Raw genomic sequence first — 17,642 nt, 5'->3', positions numbered from 1 at the left:
GAGGTGAGTGATGAATTCCCAGCATCCTCCCAGCAACCCGGAGAAGGGGGCAAGGCTGGAGAATTCCATCCATTGAATACAAAGGACGTTGAGGCTCTGAGTGCTGGAGCCACTTATGGGCAGGGCAGAGGGAAGGCTGGGGCTCACGCCATCTCCCTCCCACTCTGTCCATATTTCTGTCACATGGCAAGGTGATGGAGGCTGAGCCCTAAGGGAGGGAGAGGCACTTCAGTTGGTAAGTGCGATCTCAGAGGAAGAGGAGGGCTGTGAACACTGGGACAACCAGGGAGGGCTCCCTGGAGGTGGAGAGAGGGGGTCAATGATGCTGGGGCAGACAAACGGGCTTTTCTGTGCCTTGCAGGGGGTAGCAGGGATACTCACTTTTTCCCCAGGTATCTGACGTCCTCACACCAGCTGCTCCTGAAGCCTCCCACGGCCCCCTCCCCCTGTGTCTCGGCAGCTCCCCGGGGTGGGTCTGGAACCAGCAGGATAAGCAGGATCAAGGCCACGGCCTCCAGGCAGGGCATGACCTGGGGACAGGAGGGCCCAGGAAGCTCAGGGCCGCATATTATCACAGCCCAAGGGACCCCCGGGGGCAACTGGCCACAGTATCAGCCAGTGGCTGACCTCTGGTTTCCAAGCCCTGGGGGTAGTGGGGGTGACCTGATTCCTGGATGCTGGTATCCACAGAGCAGGATGTACCACTGTTTCTCAGCCCTCACCACTGCAGCCTTTCCAGGGAGTGGAGACTCTTTGGGACTTCATGTAATTCCCGTCTTTCCAGTACAGACACCAGTCTTTTGAGGTCAGTGGGCCTGAGACGGTTGAGAACAGGGACCCTCGCTACACTGGCCCTGCCTCCTGAGTACTTGCTGTCCTAGAGCTGATCTTTCCCTGGCCCAGGCCTCCATCTGCCACACAGTCCTGCCCTGGCATCCTCTCCTAGCGGCCCCTCTGCTCAAACCCCAAGGACGGGGATCTCACTACCCACCTTGGGGCAGCCTTCAAACAGCTGAGACCATGAGAAGGTTTATTCAAGCCAGGTCAGACCTGCCTCCTTGAAGCCCACCCCACCCCCAAAATTCCAAATCTGGCTTCAGCACTTCACACGCCAGCTCCCCGGCACTGGGCTGGCTCCACAGTGGTCTGCGCGCAGCCTGCATTCCCACCAAGCTGCACTCCCAGGGCTGAGCTCAGCACCCTCCACTATGGAGTTCCTTCCTCTTCAGAATGGTCCCTCTCCATGCCCACGTTGGAAACACAAGGGCTGGAGCCCCAGCGGGGCCTGCCCGGCATCTTCTTGAGCATTCTGCTGAACTGCTGAGCAAGCCTAGCTGCCAGTCCTCAAGGGCCTACTCTACACCCTGACCCTGCGGCTTGGAACTTCCATCTCTCATCTCACTGATCCTCAAGATGCCTTAGGTAGCATTTAGTACCCCCGCTTTACCGACAGGCAAACTGAGGCTCTGAAGAAGAAGGTGATCTGCTTGAGATCACACAGCTGGTAAACTAAGCAGCCAGCTTTTGAGCCCACGGCCACCACTTCCACACCCCATGCTCCCTATGAGGCCCCACATGTCCAAAGCTGCCGATGCCTGACCACCACCCCCCGTCCCCCTAATGGCGCCGGGTGCTACGCCAAGTGGCTAAGGTCACCCAAGGCTGGAAAGTCCCTGCCGGTCCAGAGGGAAAGCAGAGGGAAGAAAAGGAAGCTGGACTCACTCGGAGGGCCCAGCGCCAGTTCCCAGTCAGCATCGTCACAGCCGACCCCAGCACGTAGCCCAGACCACTGCAACAAAGGGGCAGGGGCGATGGGCTGTGAGGGGAGGGAGGCGGAAGGCAGACCCCACCACCAGCCTGACCCAGGGTGCCCCCCCCACGCCCCAGGGAGCTGGCTCTCTGCAGGCTCAGACCTGTTTCACTGAGGAAAGTAAGCCACGTGAGGCCCAGATGTCCACTGCCCTCGGTCAGGTCACCAGTGACCTCTGGCTCCTGGCCCACCCCCAGCGCCACTCTCTCCACCTATGGAAACACATACCCTACACCCTCCTGCCCAAGGCTGGGCCCTGCTTGAGTCAGGCAAGTTCAGGAAACCTGGGTCAGAGGCCAGGGTCCTGATTGCAAATCCTGCTCTGGCCTAGCCTGTTGTGGGGTGCAGGGCCTGGCCCTAACACGCTTCCTCACCTTACCTCCCATAGCCGGCCCTTCCCTGGGTGGGCCACACTGCCGAGTGTGTGAATCTATACGGCACATCCTCATCACCTCTATTCCTCCCCAAGCCCATCAGCTGGTGTCACTGCCCCCGTTTACAGATGAGGAAACTGAGGCTAGGAGAGGTAGACTCACATGGTGAGGGAGGGGTAGCATTGGGACTCAAATCCCAGCCCTCCTGGTTTGACCTCTCCTACCCAGGTCCAGCCCCTGTTCTGACTCCTTTGGGCCTCAGTTTACCACCTGGGGAAGTAGACCCACGGGTGATACCAACCTTCCAACGGGGATAAAGATGTAGAAGACAGCCAGCACGCGGGTGCGCTGGTCCCTCACGAAGAGGTCGCCCAGGACGGTGGGCGCGATGGTGGAGTAGCTGGCCGAGCCAGTGCCCACGATGCCCCGGGACAGGAAGAAGAGCCAAGAATACTGGGCGAGCAGGCACAAGACCACGGTGAGTTCCAGAAATCACCCATAGGGCCAGGGACCCGAGGGTTTGTCGGAGGAGCCAAGGGGACCTCATGACACAGGACCCCAGAGTAGGGAGAGGGGATCGGGGCTACAGACACCTCTCCACTCCAGGTTCCCAAAGTCAAACGTGTGTCCCCTGCAGCCACCACCTGCCCCCCTGCCCAGGGGAGCCCTTTTCCTGGGTCCCACCATTGCTAACCAGGCCAGTTCCCCAAGACAGCAGCTGTTACCCCCAGCCCCACCCCCAGCAGAGTCGGGCAGAAATGAAGCTGGTGCGGCAGTGAGAGGTAGGAGAGAGGGGGCCTCCTGTTAAGAAAGTCCACTGGCTTGGCCAGGCATGGTGGCTCACGCCTGTAATCCCAGCACTTTAGGAGGCCGAGGTGGGTGGATCACCTGAGGCTGGGAGTTCGAGACCAGCCTGGCCCACATGGTGAAACCCTGTCTCTACTAAAAAATACAAAAATTAGCTGGGCGTGGTGGCACGCGCCTGGTATCCCAGCTACTCTGGAGGCTGAGACAGGAGAATTGCTTGAACTCGGGAGGCAGAGTTTGCAGTGAGTCGAGATCACGCCATTGCACTCCAGCCTGGGCAACAAGAGCGAAATTCTGTCTCAAAAAAAAAAAAAAAAAGTCCACCAGCTCTGCCCTGTGCAGACTCAGGCTGGAGACTGGAGACTGTGCTCTCACCTTCTCTCCCAGCCCTCAGTGCAATCCCTGATCCAGTCACAGCCAGGAATGGAGCAGAATTGTCCCCACGCAGCTCTGACGGGGCTGAATCAGGGAGGAAGCAGGTGGGGAAGGGGCCTCAGGGGCCTGGACAGGGGCATGGACACGTACCCGGGGGGAGATGAAGGAGCTAGAGAGGCCAGCTCCTGACCACAGCAAGATACCGAAGCTCATGGTAGCCTTGCGGCTATGTCGGTCGCCCAGGTAGCCAAACACAGGTGCAGACAGCAGCAGGCAGCTAACGAAGACTGAAGGAGACACACAGGGGCAGCCTGGATCCCCCCACGACCGTGGCAGGGCAGATGGCCCAGCAGGCCCAGGGAAGGAGCCTGACTCAGATGCCACAAGCTGGCATCTTGGCAGTGGGCCCAGGGTATGAGGAAGAAAAGATAAGGTGAACCTCACAGTGCGTGGCCAACATGCAGCCGCAGCCCAGAGTGTGGAGGCCTCAATCTGGCCCCAAACCCAAAGCCCAGCTCTGCCGCTTGCTCTGAGTGTCACCCCAACACTGGAGAGGTCACCATCCTCTCCCAGGATGGTGAAGGTGAGATGGGAACTGAATGCGGAGCGTCAGGCATGGAGCAGATGCCAGTTTCCCGGCTTTACAAACACACATGACCCCCGTGAGCCTGGATATGGGGACAGGTCTGATTTTTCATTCATGCACCTACTGGGGCAACGGGGAGCAGGGAAAGAGGGAAGTCAGCCTGGGCCTACTCTGAGCAGCAGATGAGGACGCTTTAGAATGAGCACACTGGGCCGGGCGCGGTGGCTCACGCCTGTAATCCCAGCACTTTGGGAGGCTGAGGCGGGCAGATTGCCTGAGCTCAGGAGTTTAAGACCAGCCTGGGCAACATAGTGAAACCCCATCTCTACTAAAAAAAAAAATACAAAAAAATTAGCCAGGTGTGATGGTGGGCATCTGTACTCCCAGCTACTCGAGAGGATGAGGCACAAGAATCGTTTGAACCTGGGAGGCGGAGGTTGCAGTGAGCCGGGATCACGCCACTGCACTCCAGCCTGGGCGACAGAGCAAGACTTGGTCTCAAAAAAAAAAAAGAATAAGCATATTGACTGTGAACTAGTGATGATTCCAGGAAGCCAGGAAAAAGTTGGTTTTCCTACATAGGTAAAATGTTCCCTGGACACAGCTGCATTTATACTTTTATTTTACTTTTTGAGACAAAGTCTCGCTCTGTCACCCAGGCTGGAGTGCAGTGGTTCAATCTCAGCTCCCTGCAGCCTCTGCCTCCTGGCCTCAAGCCATCCTCCCATCTCAGCCTCCAGAGTAGTTGAGACTACAGGCAAGTACCACCACACCTGGCTAATTTTTGTAGTTTTTGCACAGACGGGGTTTCACCATCTTGTGCAGGCTGGTCTCGAACTCCTGGGCTCAAGGGATCCGCCCACCTCGGCCTCCTAAAGTGCTGGGGTTACAGGCGTGGGCCACTGTGCCCGGCCCACTGTCCATTTTTCTATTGGGCTGTTGTTTGTTAATATGTTTTGGAAATAAGTTCCCATAGTCTTTTATATTTGTTTTAAGAATTAGAAACGCAACTTCTGGGACTAAGTTGGCTGGGTTTAAATCCTGGCTCACCACTTTCTAGCTATGTGACCTTTGGTAGATTCCTTAACTCTTCGTGTTCCCCTTTCATCAACAGTGCTATTCCCTTGTTTGGTTACTGAGAGAATTAAGTAAAATAAAGCACATAAAAGTTATCTGCATAGCTTCATGTAAATGTCCAATAAATGTTATCTATTATTATTACTGATTGCATAATTTCAATCACCATCATACGGAAGTGTTTAGCTTTGTAGTCAAATTTATTAACCTTCTGGAGGGGCAAGTGTTATTTCATATCTTGTTTATGCATATCTTCTTTATCCAAAAGTTATAAAACTATTTCCCAGCTGGACGCGGTGGCTCACGCCTGTAATCCCAGCACTTTGGGAAGCCAAGGCCGGTGGATCACCCGAGGTCAGGAGTTCGAGACCAGCCGGGCCAACATGGTAAAATCCCATCTCTACTAAAAATACAGAAGTTAGCTGAGCATGGTGGCGGGCGCCTGTAATCCCAGCTACTGGGGAGGCTGAGGGAGAAGAATTGCTTGAACCTGGGAGGTGGAGGTTGCAGTGAGCTGAGATCGCACCACTGCACTCCAGCCTGTGTGACAGAGCGAGAGTCTCTCTCAAAAAAAAAAACAAAAAGCAAACAAACAACAACAAATATGTATATATCCTCATATTCCTCACATGCAGGGATCACTTGCAGGCTGTTTTAAGTGCCTTAAACCTGCAGACGCTCTGTGAATCTGCAGATGCCCTTCCCAAGGGGAAAACAGACACTCCTCATTCCCAAGGTCTCCTAATTCAAATCATTTCTGTGACACAGTGGGTGAAATGAATGCTCCCAGAGTTAAAAGACAGACTCTGGAGGCACACTTCCTGGATTCAAATCCCAGCTTCAGCAAGTCTCATAACTTCTCTGAGCCTCAGTTTCATCATCTGTAAAATGGACATAATAGTAAAACCTGCCTGGTGGGATTGTCGTGAAGATTAAATAAGTTGATATTTAAAGCACTTAGAATCGTGCCTGACATGTGGTAAGGGCCAAGTCAGTGTTAGTTTTAAATATTATTAATTAATGAACTCACTCCAGCAGCTTCTCTATCCCATGGGTGGCTGGAGGGAGCCTGACCACTGCCTCTTCTCACTTTCCACTCCTCTTCTCTTTTTTTGTTTTTTTTTTGAGACAGTCTTGCTCTGTGGCCCAGTCTGGAGTGCAGTGGCACGATCTCAGCTCACTGCAACCCCTGCCTTCTGGGTTCAAGTGATTCTCCTGCCTCAGCCTCCCAAGTAGCTGGGATTCCAGGCACCTGCCACCACACCTGGCTAATTTTTGTATTTTTAGTAGAGACGAGGTTTCACCATGTTGGCCAGGCTGGTCTCAAACTCCCGACCTCAGGTGATCCACCCAGCCTCCCAAAGTGCTGGGATTACAGGCGTGAGCCACCGTGCCCAGCCCAACCCCTCTATCTCTTCAACACCCTCTCTCTCAGTCATCAGTTTCCTCTTCTCAGCAGCCCTGTGGACAGACAACAGGCTGGGTCTAGGGCCATAGCACGGTAACCGGAAAAGGTAAAGAGACTCACCTGAGGCCACCAGAGACCAGCCTGGTCATCAGGCCTCTAAGCCCACTGTCCTTTCATGAAATTTTTGAGCTGCTTCTGCAAAGATGACCTTTCTCTTCACCTACTGCCAAACACACACACACACACACACACACACACACACACTTCTCCCTCCGTGGCCCAGGACTTGTAGTAATAATCTTGACCACTACGGTAAGAACCATACTATGGTAAGGGCCAGTGTGGTGGCTCACGTCTGTAATCTCAACACTTTGGGAGGTCAAGGCTGGTGGACCACTTGAGGTCAGGAGTTCGAGACCAGCCTGGCCAACATGGTGAGACCCCCCCCAACACACCCCCACCATCTCTATTAAAAGTACAAAAATCAGCCTGGCATGATGGCAGGTGCCTGTAATTCCAGCTACTTGGGAGGCTGAGGCAGGAGAATCACTTGAACCCAGGAGTCAGAGGTTGCAGTGAGCCGAGATCATGCCATTGCACTCCAGCCTGAGCAATAAGAGCAAAACTCCGTCTCAAGAAAAAAAGGAAAAAAAAAGAACCAGTGAAGGGAAATGTTGACTAAACCACCATTATCTATTTAATCGAGAAGGTTGTGGGTGTTGAACCAAGATGGTCTCACTTTGGCCACAGATATGGCTGGAAGATCAGCATCAGCTGCTGTCTCTTGGCCACAAGATTGAGGGGCAATTGGAAACCATGCATGTTCTAAAGCCATGATCTTCTAACTGTTGCTCACGTAACTCTTTTGTCTTTTTTTTTTCCTTTCTGTGGAGAATAGGGTCTCACTATATTGCCCAAGCAGGTCTCGAACTCCTGGGCTCAAGCTATTCTCCCGCCTCTGCCTCCCTAAGAGCTGGGATTACAGGCGTGAGCCACTGCACCTGGCTCTCATGTCACTCTTAAAGAAGTTTCTAGAACTATGTACTCCTCCACACATTTTCAGCTAACATTAAAATGTTCTTATCCCAAGTTTGAATCGTTGCCAAGGATGGGATTTCCAGCGTTGTTGTGTATTTTTTTAAACTGTATTTTCATCCAAACTCTTGGAGCTACAGGGTTGAGTTTATTCAGTTTATGGGAAATGTCTACAGTAGAATCTAAGTAATAATGCCTGTCCTCTTTTGCCAAAGCAATTAGACGTCAAACTGATTATAAGAAAAATGTTGGCTTCATTTTCTTTCATTGAAAGAAATGTGTTGACATGCATCCCTGAGACCGCTATCTCACTTTGAATTCTAATTTGTAGATAAATAGTAGACACTGCACACGGGAACAGCTAGATAAGGCTTGGCTCCTTGCCTGCGCTTGTAGCCTGGGGCAAATCTCCCCAGCACGTTTCTCTTGATGCTCTCTGCTTTGCTCCCAAGGTCCCCCTGGGAAAAGCCGAGCATCCACGCAGGGGCCTCTGTTTGATACCCCAGAGGTTTTTACACCCAGGAGCAGCACATCCAGGATGCGGAGAGGAGTCCCTTTCTGTTTACCATGGTAGACAGGGAATTGTACAATGGAAGGAGAGGAAGGAGAACCACAGGCCGACCACAGGCTCCCCCTCAGGCAGGTCATTTTAGGAAAAAAACATACAGGCTTGAGAATCTAGAAATAAATCAGTCTCTCAAAACTCTCTGTGTTCATGTAACCCCTGGAAAGTGACTGTGTATCCCCAGGGATCCCTGTACCCCGGTTTAAGAGCCATGTTCTAAAGCCCTGAGATGATGGACTGTGAGGACCCTCGGTGCCTGCTGGTTACAGCCTGGGTGTGTGCACAGGCGTATCACGTGTTGTGACCATGTGTGTGCACATGTGGGTGTGTGGATATGCACACTGTGGGTGTGTGTCACCATCCAGGCACCCACAAGGGAAAAGCTAACGCCTCATGACCCCAACCGCTCTGATGTTGCGATGGGACGTGTGGCTGCTCCCTGCTGCTGGGTGTCAGGCTGTCTGTGGGCCCAGAGTCCATCTGAGCCCATGTGGGGGGATGTGCCTGTCTGTGTCTGTCTGTTTGACTTTGTGTGTCCCAGTAGTCAGATTTTTCAGTTCTGTGAGAGGAAAGCACACATCAGGATTTCTCAAAGCCCAGCAAGCCTCTGGTGCACCGCTGAGCCTCACCAACACGAAGGGAAGGAATGGCCAGCTCCACAGCGAGGACCTGAGGCTGAGGGACCTCTCCCAGCCCCACCTCCCCCTGCTCTCCCGCGGCACCCTACACTCAAACTACCATGGCTGTTCCAGCCCAGGCTCTCTCCTGCTCCTGCCTAGACTGTCCCTCAGGCCCATACCCCACCCACCCTCTGTGCCAGGGGACCCAGTGGGGCTGGAGCTGGGCACAGAACATGACCCACAGAAAGAGCCCACCCCAGCATGAACCCAGGGCCCCGGCTCCAGAGCCAGGGCTCCTCCTTACCAGTCTGAAGCAAACCAGCATGGTTGTCACTGATCTGGAAAACCTCCTGTATATCCAGCAGCACTCCTGCAGACAGAGGGACAGTGCTCAGGAAACGGGAAGTAGCCCTCCTGGCCTCTAAAGGCAGCTGCTCCAGGTTTGGCACAGGGCCACAGCTGACCAGCACAGCACAGGGCATGGCACCCAAGCCCACTGTTCTCTCCCCCTCTCTCCCATACAGCTGTACAACCACACACACAAGAGCAGGCACACAGAGAAACGTGTGCATTTCAAACACTCAAAGAAACAAGCATCCCTTGGCTGGGCACGGTGGCTCACGCCTGTAATCTCAGCAGTTTGGGAGGCCAAGGCTGGCGGATCACCTGAGGTCAGGAGCTTGAGACCAGCCATGGTCAACGTGGTGAAACCCCGTCTCTACTAAAAGTACAAAAAATTAGCCGGACGTGGTGGCGGGCGCCTGTAATCCCAGCTACTCGGGAGGCTGAGGCAGGAGAATTGCTTGAGCCTGGGAGGTGGAGGTTGCAGTGAGCCGAGATCGCGCCATTGCACTCCAGCCTGGGCAACAAGAGCCACGCTCCATCTCAAAAAAAAAAGAAAGAAAAAGAAAGAAAGAAGCATCCCAAAGGCACAGACATTCACACACACACACTGACACATAAGCACGCAGCCACACGGCTCCTTCCCTCCTCTTCATATGGGAACACAGATATAGATACAAACAGGCATTCCCAGAGAAACACACCTGCAGAGGCACAAATACACACACACACACACACACACACAGGAACTCACTCTCACAGACATGTACACCCAGCCTCACTCATACACCCAGACACACAGACACATGTGCAGTGAGATGTGCACCCAGAGGCCTGCCCGCGTATGCACAGGCTCAGGGCTGCCATCCACACTGCAGTCAGAGGAGCGGCAGCCCCCTGTCGCTGCTCAGTGCACAGCCCTTTACTTAGGCCACTGTGTAAACGGAAGTCCCTGGAGCTGTACAGCACAGTGGCCTCGCTCATGCACAAACACTGGAAATGCATAGGTGAACATGTACATAAAAAGACGAACGTGTCCTGGCTTGCACGCATGTGCACACACAAGCCTGTTCTTCCAGAGGCACAGCAGTGGGCACCCAGCCTAATGTAGAGAGAGAAAGTGGGTCTCCCAGACACCAGGGTCTGTTTCCTGATAGCCTCTTGGTGTCCTAGAAAGGGTCGGGGTCTGCAGCACCTGCTCACGTGAGCCATGCGGCTCTGGCCCTGTCATTATTATGAAGAAGAACAATCCTCACTTTCATCAGTCAGGAGGTGACTGACAGCCAGGCCCTGAGCTGTACACTCGCAGTTGTCATCCTAAAAGAGGGGGACTGTCATTGCCCCCATTCTACAGATGAGGAAACAGAGGCTTTAGCGGCCCAAGGTTGCCCGTCTGAAGCTGGGGGAGCTGGGGCTCAAATCTCAGCCAGAGGCAGCCTGTCCACACACCCAGAACCACAGAAGGGGAGCAGAAGCCCCCAAGTGGGTCCCCGCAGAAACACCCACACCAAGAAAGCCCTGCGTGCACACCTCTAAGAGCTGCCCCATGCACATGAAGATCAAGGGATCAGAGGAGCAAAGCAAAAAATCCTTGCTCAGGGAGGGACGTGGTGGCTCACGCCTGTAATCCCAGCACTTTGGGAGGCCGAGGCCGGCAGATCTTGAGGTCAGGAGATCAAGACCATCGTGGCTAACACAGTGAAATCCCATCTCTATTTAAAAATACAAAAAATTAGCCAGATGTTGTGGCACAGGCCTGTAGTCCCAGCTACTCAGGAGGCTGAGGCAGGAGAATCGCTTGAACCTGGGAGGCGGAGGTTGCAGTGAGCTGAGATCATGCCACTGCACTCCAGCCTGGGCGACAGAGTGAGACTCCGTCTCCAAAAAAAAAAAAAAAGAAATCTTTGTTTAGACATTTAATTTGTCCCCAATTGCCACTGCAACCTGGCATACAAACTGTTATGTCTTTTTCCCCTTTTAATATTTTGTTTTTTATTTTTATTTTATTTATTTATTTTTGAGACTGAATCTCACTATTTCATCCAGGCTGAAGTGCAGTGACACGATCTCAGCTCACTGCAACCTCTGCCTCCTGGGTTCAGGCAATTTTCCTGCCTCGGCCTCCCAAGTAGCTGGGATTACAGGTGCCCGCCATCACGCCTGGCTAATTTTTGTATTTTTAGTAGAGACGGGGTTTCACCATTTTGGCCAGTCTGGTCTCGAACTCCTGATCTCAGGTGATCCACCTGCCTCGGCCTCTCAAAGTCCCCCTTTTATTATTTTAAATACACAAAGAAGACAGTCATTGGAAAGAAAAAAAGGAGACAACACAGGTAAGCAAAATAAATAGCTAAACGAAAATGCTCCAAATTGTGCCCATCTTCCATTTTCAGGAATGAGGACTCATCCCCTTGTTTTCTCTCCTCCTGGGCTCCTCTCAGCCCCATGGTACTCTAGAGGTGATCCAGAGCCAAGCGTGCACCCACCCTTGCTTTCATCTGTAGCCTACCACCCTGGCCCCATAAGAGCTGTTTCCTGCAAGAACATTTTAGCTGTTTACCCCCACCAGTTCCCAGATGCTCAGCACGGTTTCACTTCTCCAGGTCTCTATCCCCACAGTAACCACAGCCCCCTTTCTTGCACATACAGAGGAAGTGCTGATGGAGAAGGGACCTGGACAGGCAAGACTCAGGGTCTTAGGGCCCAGCCAGGGACCTCCAGGGCTAGCGGCAGAGATAGCGGGTCCCCAGGCTCGTGGGTTCAGAGAGCTCCACACTGGTGATTCCTGGCTCCCATCCACCTCTTGCCCCTTCTCGCCTTTGCGTGCCCTTGGCCCACACTCCAACTCAGGCCTCCTCAGCTTTGGCCTGATCCACTACAGCAGCCTCTGAACTGACTCCCTGGCTCATTTTGCCTCCATCAGGGCCTCAAATCCAATTATATGGCTCCCCATTGCCCAAGGCAGAAAGTCCAAGCTCCCAGTCTGGCACCCAAGAAGCTCTGTTCTCACCCCATACACCCCTTTGGGGTTTTTTGTTTCATGTGTTTTGTTTTGCTTTGTTTTGGCTTTTTGTCTTTAGGGGTTTAGATAAGATCTTGCTCTGTCACTCAGGCTAGAGGGCTCACCGCAGCCTCAAGCAATCCTCCCGCTTCAGCCTCAAGCAATCCTCCTGCTTCAGCCTCAAGCAATCCTCCTGCTTCAGCCTCCCGAGAGGCTGAAGACATCACTGTCCCTGGCTAATTTTTTAAATTTTTTGTAGAGACAAGGTTTTTCTATGTTACCCAGGCTGGTCTCGAACTCCTGACCTCATGTGAGGAGAAGCTCCTGACCTCTGAGCTCCTCAAAGACGATGACCAGGTCTGGGGATGGCTCTGCAGCCCCTAGAGTTTCATGATTCCATAGCCACTCTCTGGCATGCTGAGCTGGTAACTGACAGATCGATGCCCAGGTCTCAGAGATGCCTGGCAGCTGCAGGCACCCTCCTGAGCTCCCAGCCCGGCCTGTGCCTCCCCCTTGTCTGGCCGCACCTCTCCGCCTCGCAGGACTGCCATCAACCAGCCTCTATCTCTGCCCCATGAGATGGTCATTCCTGAGTTCAGGAACTCCAAGTCCGATTTCCTCCCTGGGTCCACAGCAGCCAGCAGGGGGTCCTGCCCACAGTTAGTGCTCAGCCGGTCTTGAATGAATGAATGACAAGAAGAGAAGAGCAAGTGGAGCCTCAATCAGCTGTTGTTATTGTTGTTGTCTTTGTTTGAGACGGAGTCTCGCTCTGTCGCCCAGGCTGGAGTGCAGTGGCACGATCTCAGCTCACCGCAACCTCCGCCTCCCGGGTTCAAGCGACTGTCCTGCCTCAGCCTCCCGAGTAGCTGGGATTACAGGCGTGAGCCACCACGCCTGGCCCCTGATCAGTCTTGAATGAATGAATGAGTGAGTGAGTTAGTGAATGAGTGACAGAAGACAGAGCAGGTTGAGCCCTGAAGCCTGCAAGAAGGAAGGCAGGACGTGTGAGGTTTGCGAGCAGCCTGTTGTCCTAGAAACACAGCCAGCAGGAGCTATTCTTGTCTGGCCCAGGCTACCCTGTCCTCCACCTAGAACCTGGGGGCCTCTGCCTGGAAGTCCTGCCTGCTGTCCTCACCCACCCACCCCTCATTATGTCTCTGGCCCCACCCCCACTGTGCCCTCCCTTAATTTTTAAAAAATATTTATTTATTTATTTATTTTTTATTTTTTATTTTTTTTTTTTTGAGACAGAGCCTTGCTCTGTCGCCCAGACTGGAGTGCAATGGTGGGATCTTGGCTCAATGGTGGGATCTCGGCTCACTGCAACATCCACCTCCCAGGTTCAAGCAATTCTCTGCCTCAGCCTCCCCAGTAGCTGAGATTACAGGTGCCCGCTACCATGCTCGGCTAATTTTTGTAGTTTTAGTAGAGACGGGGTTTCACCATGTTGCCCAGGCTGGTCACAAAGTCCTCACTTCAAGTGATCCGCCCACCTTGGCCTCCCACAGTGCTGGGATTACAGGCCTGAGCCACCGCACCCAGCCCTAAAATATTTTTAATTTTTTAAATAGAGACAGAGTTTCGGCTGGGCGCAGGGGCTCATGCCTATAATCCCAACACTTTGGGAGGCCGAGGCAGGCGGATCACCTGAGGTCTGGAGTTCGAGACAGCCTGGCATACACGGCAAAACCCCGTCTCTACTAAAAATACAAAAACTAGCCTGGCATGGTGGTATGCGCCTGTAGTCCCAGCTACTCGGGAGGCTGAGATAGGAATCGCTTGAACCTGGGAGGCAGAAGTTGCAGTGAGCCGAGATCGCGCCACTGCACTCCAGCCTGGGCAACAGATTGAGACTCTGTCTCAAGAAAAAAAAAAAAGGCCGGGCACGGTGGCTCATGCCTGTAATCCCAGCACTTTGGGAGGCCGAGGCGGGTGGATCACCTGAGGTCAGGAGTTCGAGACCAGCCTGACTAGCATGGTAAAACCCCGTCCCTACTCCTCCTCTACTCAAAATACAAAAATTAGCCGGATGTGGTGGTGCACGCCTGTAATCCCAGCTACTCGGGAGGCTGAGGCAGGAGAATCACTTGAACCTGGGAGACAGAGGTTGCAGTGAGCTGAGATTGCGCCACTACACTCCAGCCTGGGCGACAGAGCGAGACTCTGTCTCAAAAAAAAAAATAAATAAATAGAGACAGAGTCTCACTATGTTGTCCAGGTTGGTCTCAAACTCCTGGGCTCAAGCAATCTTCCTGCCTCAGCCTCCCAAAGTGCTGGAATTACAAGCGGGAGCCACCATGCCCAGCCTGTGTCCCTTCTTAGTTGAGGCTGGATTGGGAACATCAGTTGGTCCTCCCCGATTCGAGCACAGCTGAAAACCACCTCTAGAGGTGAGAACACCAGAGATGGGCCCAGGAGCAGAAAGATGGGTGATGGCTGGAAGGCCACCATGGATCTGCAGCCCCTGGCTGGTGGGCACAGCAGCAGGTACTGCCCAGGGTAGCCATCCCCTCCTCACCTGCAATGATGAACCAGTTCATGTAATTCAGGAGGTTGATGTAGCAGAGGACGGCGGCAGCCACGTAGGCCCTCCACGGGGGCAGGCTCCAGGAGGTGGGCGTGATGGGAGGGGGACACTGCCTGCCTGGCCCTGGGGACTGGCCCTGCAGACCTCCTGGCCCAGGCTCAGGGCACTCCGCTGACATCCCCCCAGCCATGCCAGCCTGCAGCTCTTGGCCTGAGACTGGCGCCAGGATGAAGCAACATTAGCTCAGCACGAAGTCACTTCCTGTGGGGTCCCAGGCTCCAAACCTCAAAGCACCTGCCCTAACTGTTGGGCGTCTTATCGCAGGTTCCTCCTGACCCCACGGCAGCTTCACCAGTGCGATTTCCCCATCGTCAGCCTCTGAGACCTGCTACGGAGGACAAGGGCTCCTGGCACCCCCACCCTGGGGACTGGACAACTCTGTGGTCCCCTTGATCTAGCCTGCAGCTTCAGTGGCTGCAGTGAGGAAGGGAAGCTTCCAGGGCAGGAAATGAGATGAGCCTCCCAGAGTGCTGCTTGCTGTGAGATGGTCTAGCTGCCCGTACGGGACTGTGAACCAATGCCTTGAAGCCGGGGCAAATGAGGAAGGCTGGGCATTGGCCAGGACAGCAGCATTGCACTCGACTGCCAGGCAGGATGAGCACCTACCCAGGATCTAAGGTCCTTCCCGGAAAAACAAAGGTAGCAGAGGGGGCTGCCTACAAGAAGACAGCCTGTGTGCAAAACTCATCAGTGGGGGCTAAATCTGGGGGGAAGACTTCAGTGAGGGGGGAGGGTGTCAGCACGGTCACGAAGCATCTCTTGATAGATTGCTTATTAGTAACAAAAGGAAAAAGAGTAACTATACAGTAGAGGAATCAGACATCTTGACCAAGGGGTTAAAATAAATCACCTGTGAGAGGCAGGAGGGTGTCGTGTGCCTCCAGATGTGAAGGTCTTCGCAGGTCACAGCATCATCTATGTGGCATTCCAGCCAGGAAGGCACAACCGGAATCTCATCATGAGAAGACATCAGCCAGACGCGGTGGCTCGCACCTGTAATCCTAACACTGGGAGGCCAAGACAGGAGGATCATCCAAGCCCAGAAGTTTGTGACCAGCCTGGGCAACATGGTGAAACCCCATTGCTACAAAAATACCAAAAAAATAAAAAATTTTAAAAAAAAATAGCCGGGTGTAGTGGTGTGCGTCCACAGTCCCAGCTACTTGGGAGGCTGAGGTAGGAAGGATCGCCTTAGCCTGGGAAGTCGAGGCTGCAGTGAGCCATGTTCGTGCCACTGCACTCCAGGCTGGGTGACAAAGCAAGACCCCAACTCAAAAAAAAAAATTTTTTTTTTAATTTTTAAAATGAAAAAACATCAGACAAGCCCAAATTGAGAAACACTATTTCTTTAAAGGGACTGTATATTGAAAAATGTCAGAGTCATGAAAGACTAAGAAAGACTGAGGGAGCTAGGCGTGGTGGCTCACGCTTGTTATCCCAGCACTTTGGGAGGCCGAGGCAGGTGGATCACCTGAGGTCGGGAGTTCAAGATCAGCCTGACCAATGTGGAGAAACCCCGTCTCTACTAAAAATACAAAACTAACTAGGCATGGTGGCAGGTGCCTGTAATCTCAGCTACTCGGGAGGCTGAGGCAGGAGAATTGCTTGAACCCGGGAGGCACAGGTTGTGGTGAGCCAAGATCACGCCATTACACTCCAGCCTGGGCAACAAGAGCAAAACTCTGTCTCGAAAAAAAAAAAATATTCTGAGGGACTGTTTTGGATTAAAAGCAACAAAGAGACAAGATAGGCCAGGCGCGGTGGCTCATGCCTGTAATCCCAGCACTTTGGGAGGCCCAGGCGGGCGGATCACGAGGTCAGGAGTTCGAGACCAGTCTGGCCAACATAGTGAAACCCTGTCTCTACTAAAAATACACAAAAAAGTAGCTGGGTGTGGTGGTGTGCACCTGTAGTCCCAGCTACTCAGGAGGCTGAGGCAGGAGAATCATGTGAACCCGGGAGGCAGAGGTTGCAGTGAGCCAAGATCGTGCCACTGCACTCTAGCCTGGGTGACAGAACAAGACTCCGTCTCAAAAAAAAAAAAAAAAAAAAGAGAGACAAGACAATAAGACAATTAAGAGCAGTACAGGATCCCAACCTCGCTCCTGTACTGGATCAACTGATAAAACTGGATCAGGAAGAAATAGCATATCAGCATCTGTGAACTATGGTTATGTAAGTAAATAAGTAAATATCCTTATCTGAAGTATCTAGAGGTACAGGGCCATGATTTATGCCACTCATTCTCAAACGGTTCAGGAAAAAATATTAGATATGTATAGTAAGAAAACAAATGGGGCAAATATTAATAATAGATGAATCTGGGTAAAGATTATAAGAGTTTCTTTACGCTATATGATAAACTTTCTATAAGTTATAAATTATATCTAAACAAAAAGTTAAAGCATAAAATGACAAACCAATTTAAAAATGGGTGAAGAGCCGGGCATAGTGGCATGGACCTGTAGTCCCAGCTACTCTGGAGGCTGAGGTGGAAGGATCACTTAAGCCTGGGAGGTTGAGGCCACAGTGAGCTATAATCATGCCACTGTACTCCAGCTTGGGCAACAGAGTGAGATCCCATCTCTAAAGAAAAAAAACATCAGGGGGACAAAAATGGGCCAAGGAGTTGAACAGACATTTCTCTGAAGATATACAGGTGACCGACAAGCACATAAAAAGATGTTCAGGCTGGGCACAGTAGCTCACGCCTGCAATCCCAGCACTTTAGGAGGCTCAGGTGGGTGGATCACAAGGTTGGGAGTTCGAGACCAGCCTGGCCAACATAGTGAAACTCCATATCTACTAAAAATACAAAAATTAGCTGGGCGTGGTGGCATGTGTCTGTAATCCCAGCTATTTAGGAGGCTGAGGCAGGAGAACTGCTTGAACCCGGGTGGCAGAGGTTGCGGTGAGCTGAGATCACACCACTGCACTCTAGCCTGGGTGACAGAGCGAGACTTCATCTCGGGGGAAAAAAAAAAAAAGAAAGAAAAATGTTCAACATCACAAGTCATTAGGAAAATGGCAGATTGAAGCCACCATAAGATATCAG

The 17,642-nt window shown here is 52.7% G+C and overlaps 1 protein-coding gene across 9 annotated transcripts in view, besides 3 other annotated features; it reads right to left on the bottom strand.

Annotated features, from left to right (window-relative positions):
* Positions 1 to 501: an enhancer, noted in NCBI's record as "H3K4me1 hESC enhancer chr17:4351479-4351979 (GRCh37/hg19 assembly coordinates)". NCBI's record gives its function as "activates a minimal SCP1, AML or CMV promoter by ChIP-STARR-seq in naive H9 embryonic stem cells {active_cell/tissue: H9 hESC(naive)}" and the evidence as "EXISTENCE:reporter gene assay evidence [ECO:0000049][PMID:30033119]".
* The window catches only part of SPNS3 (SPNS lysolipid transporter 3, sphingosine-1-phosphate (putative)), a 54,265-nt gene extending 39,520 nt beyond the window's left edge, over positions 1 to 14,745 (bottom strand). For 6 of the 9 annotated variants that reach the window (XR_934008.1, NM_182538.5, XM_011523724.1 and 3 more), the window contains exons 1-6: positions 14,519 to 14,745; positions 8,962 to 9,027; positions 3,517 to 3,653; positions 2,486 to 2,637; positions 1,723 to 1,789; positions 382 to 530 (exon numbers count right to left, since the gene is read on the bottom strand). Coding sequence is in view for 8 of the 9 variants with exons in the window: in NM_182538.5 (NP_872344.3) it covers positions 382 to 530; positions 1,723 to 1,789; positions 2,486 to 2,637; positions 3,517 to 3,653; positions 8,962 to 9,027; positions 14,519 to 14,717 (770 nt within the window). In the remaining variant the exon portion in view is untranslated. Of the gene's footprint in view, positions 1 to 381; positions 531 to 1,722; positions 1,790 to 1,913; positions 2,442 to 2,485; positions 2,638 to 3,516; positions 3,761 to 8,961; positions 9,028 to 14,518 lie in introns of those variants that run through there. The other 3 variants (XM_047435588.1, NM_001320449.2, XM_011523728.3) reach the window with 3 other exon arrangements.
* Positions 8,796 to 9,296: an enhancer, noted in NCBI's record as "H3K4me1 hESC enhancer chr17:4342684-4343184 (GRCh37/hg19 assembly coordinates)". NCBI's record gives its function as "activates a minimal SCP1, AML or CMV promoter by ChIP-STARR-seq in naive H9 embryonic stem cells {active_cell/tissue: H9 hESC(naive)}" and the evidence as "EXISTENCE:reporter gene assay evidence [ECO:0000049][PMID:30033119]".
* Positions 14,029 to 14,683: an enhancer, noted in NCBI's record as "H3K27ac-H3K4me1 hESC enhancer chr17:4337297-4337951 (GRCh37/hg19 assembly coordinates)". NCBI's record gives its function as "activates a minimal SCP1, AML or CMV promoter by ChIP-STARR-seq in naive H9 embryonic stem cells {active_cell/tissue: H9 hESC(naive)}" and the evidence as "EXISTENCE:reporter gene assay evidence [ECO:0000049][PMID:30033119]".

Source organism: Homo sapiens, chromosome 17 (genome assembly GCF_000001405.40).
Source record: "Homo sapiens chromosome 17, GRCh38.p14 Primary Assembly".
Lineage (NCBI taxonomy): Eukaryota > Metazoa > Chordata > Mammalia > Primates > Hominidae > Homo > Homo sapiens.
Note: the sequence above shows the minus strand (reverse complement) of the source record. Positions and strands in the feature narration are given on the sequence as shown.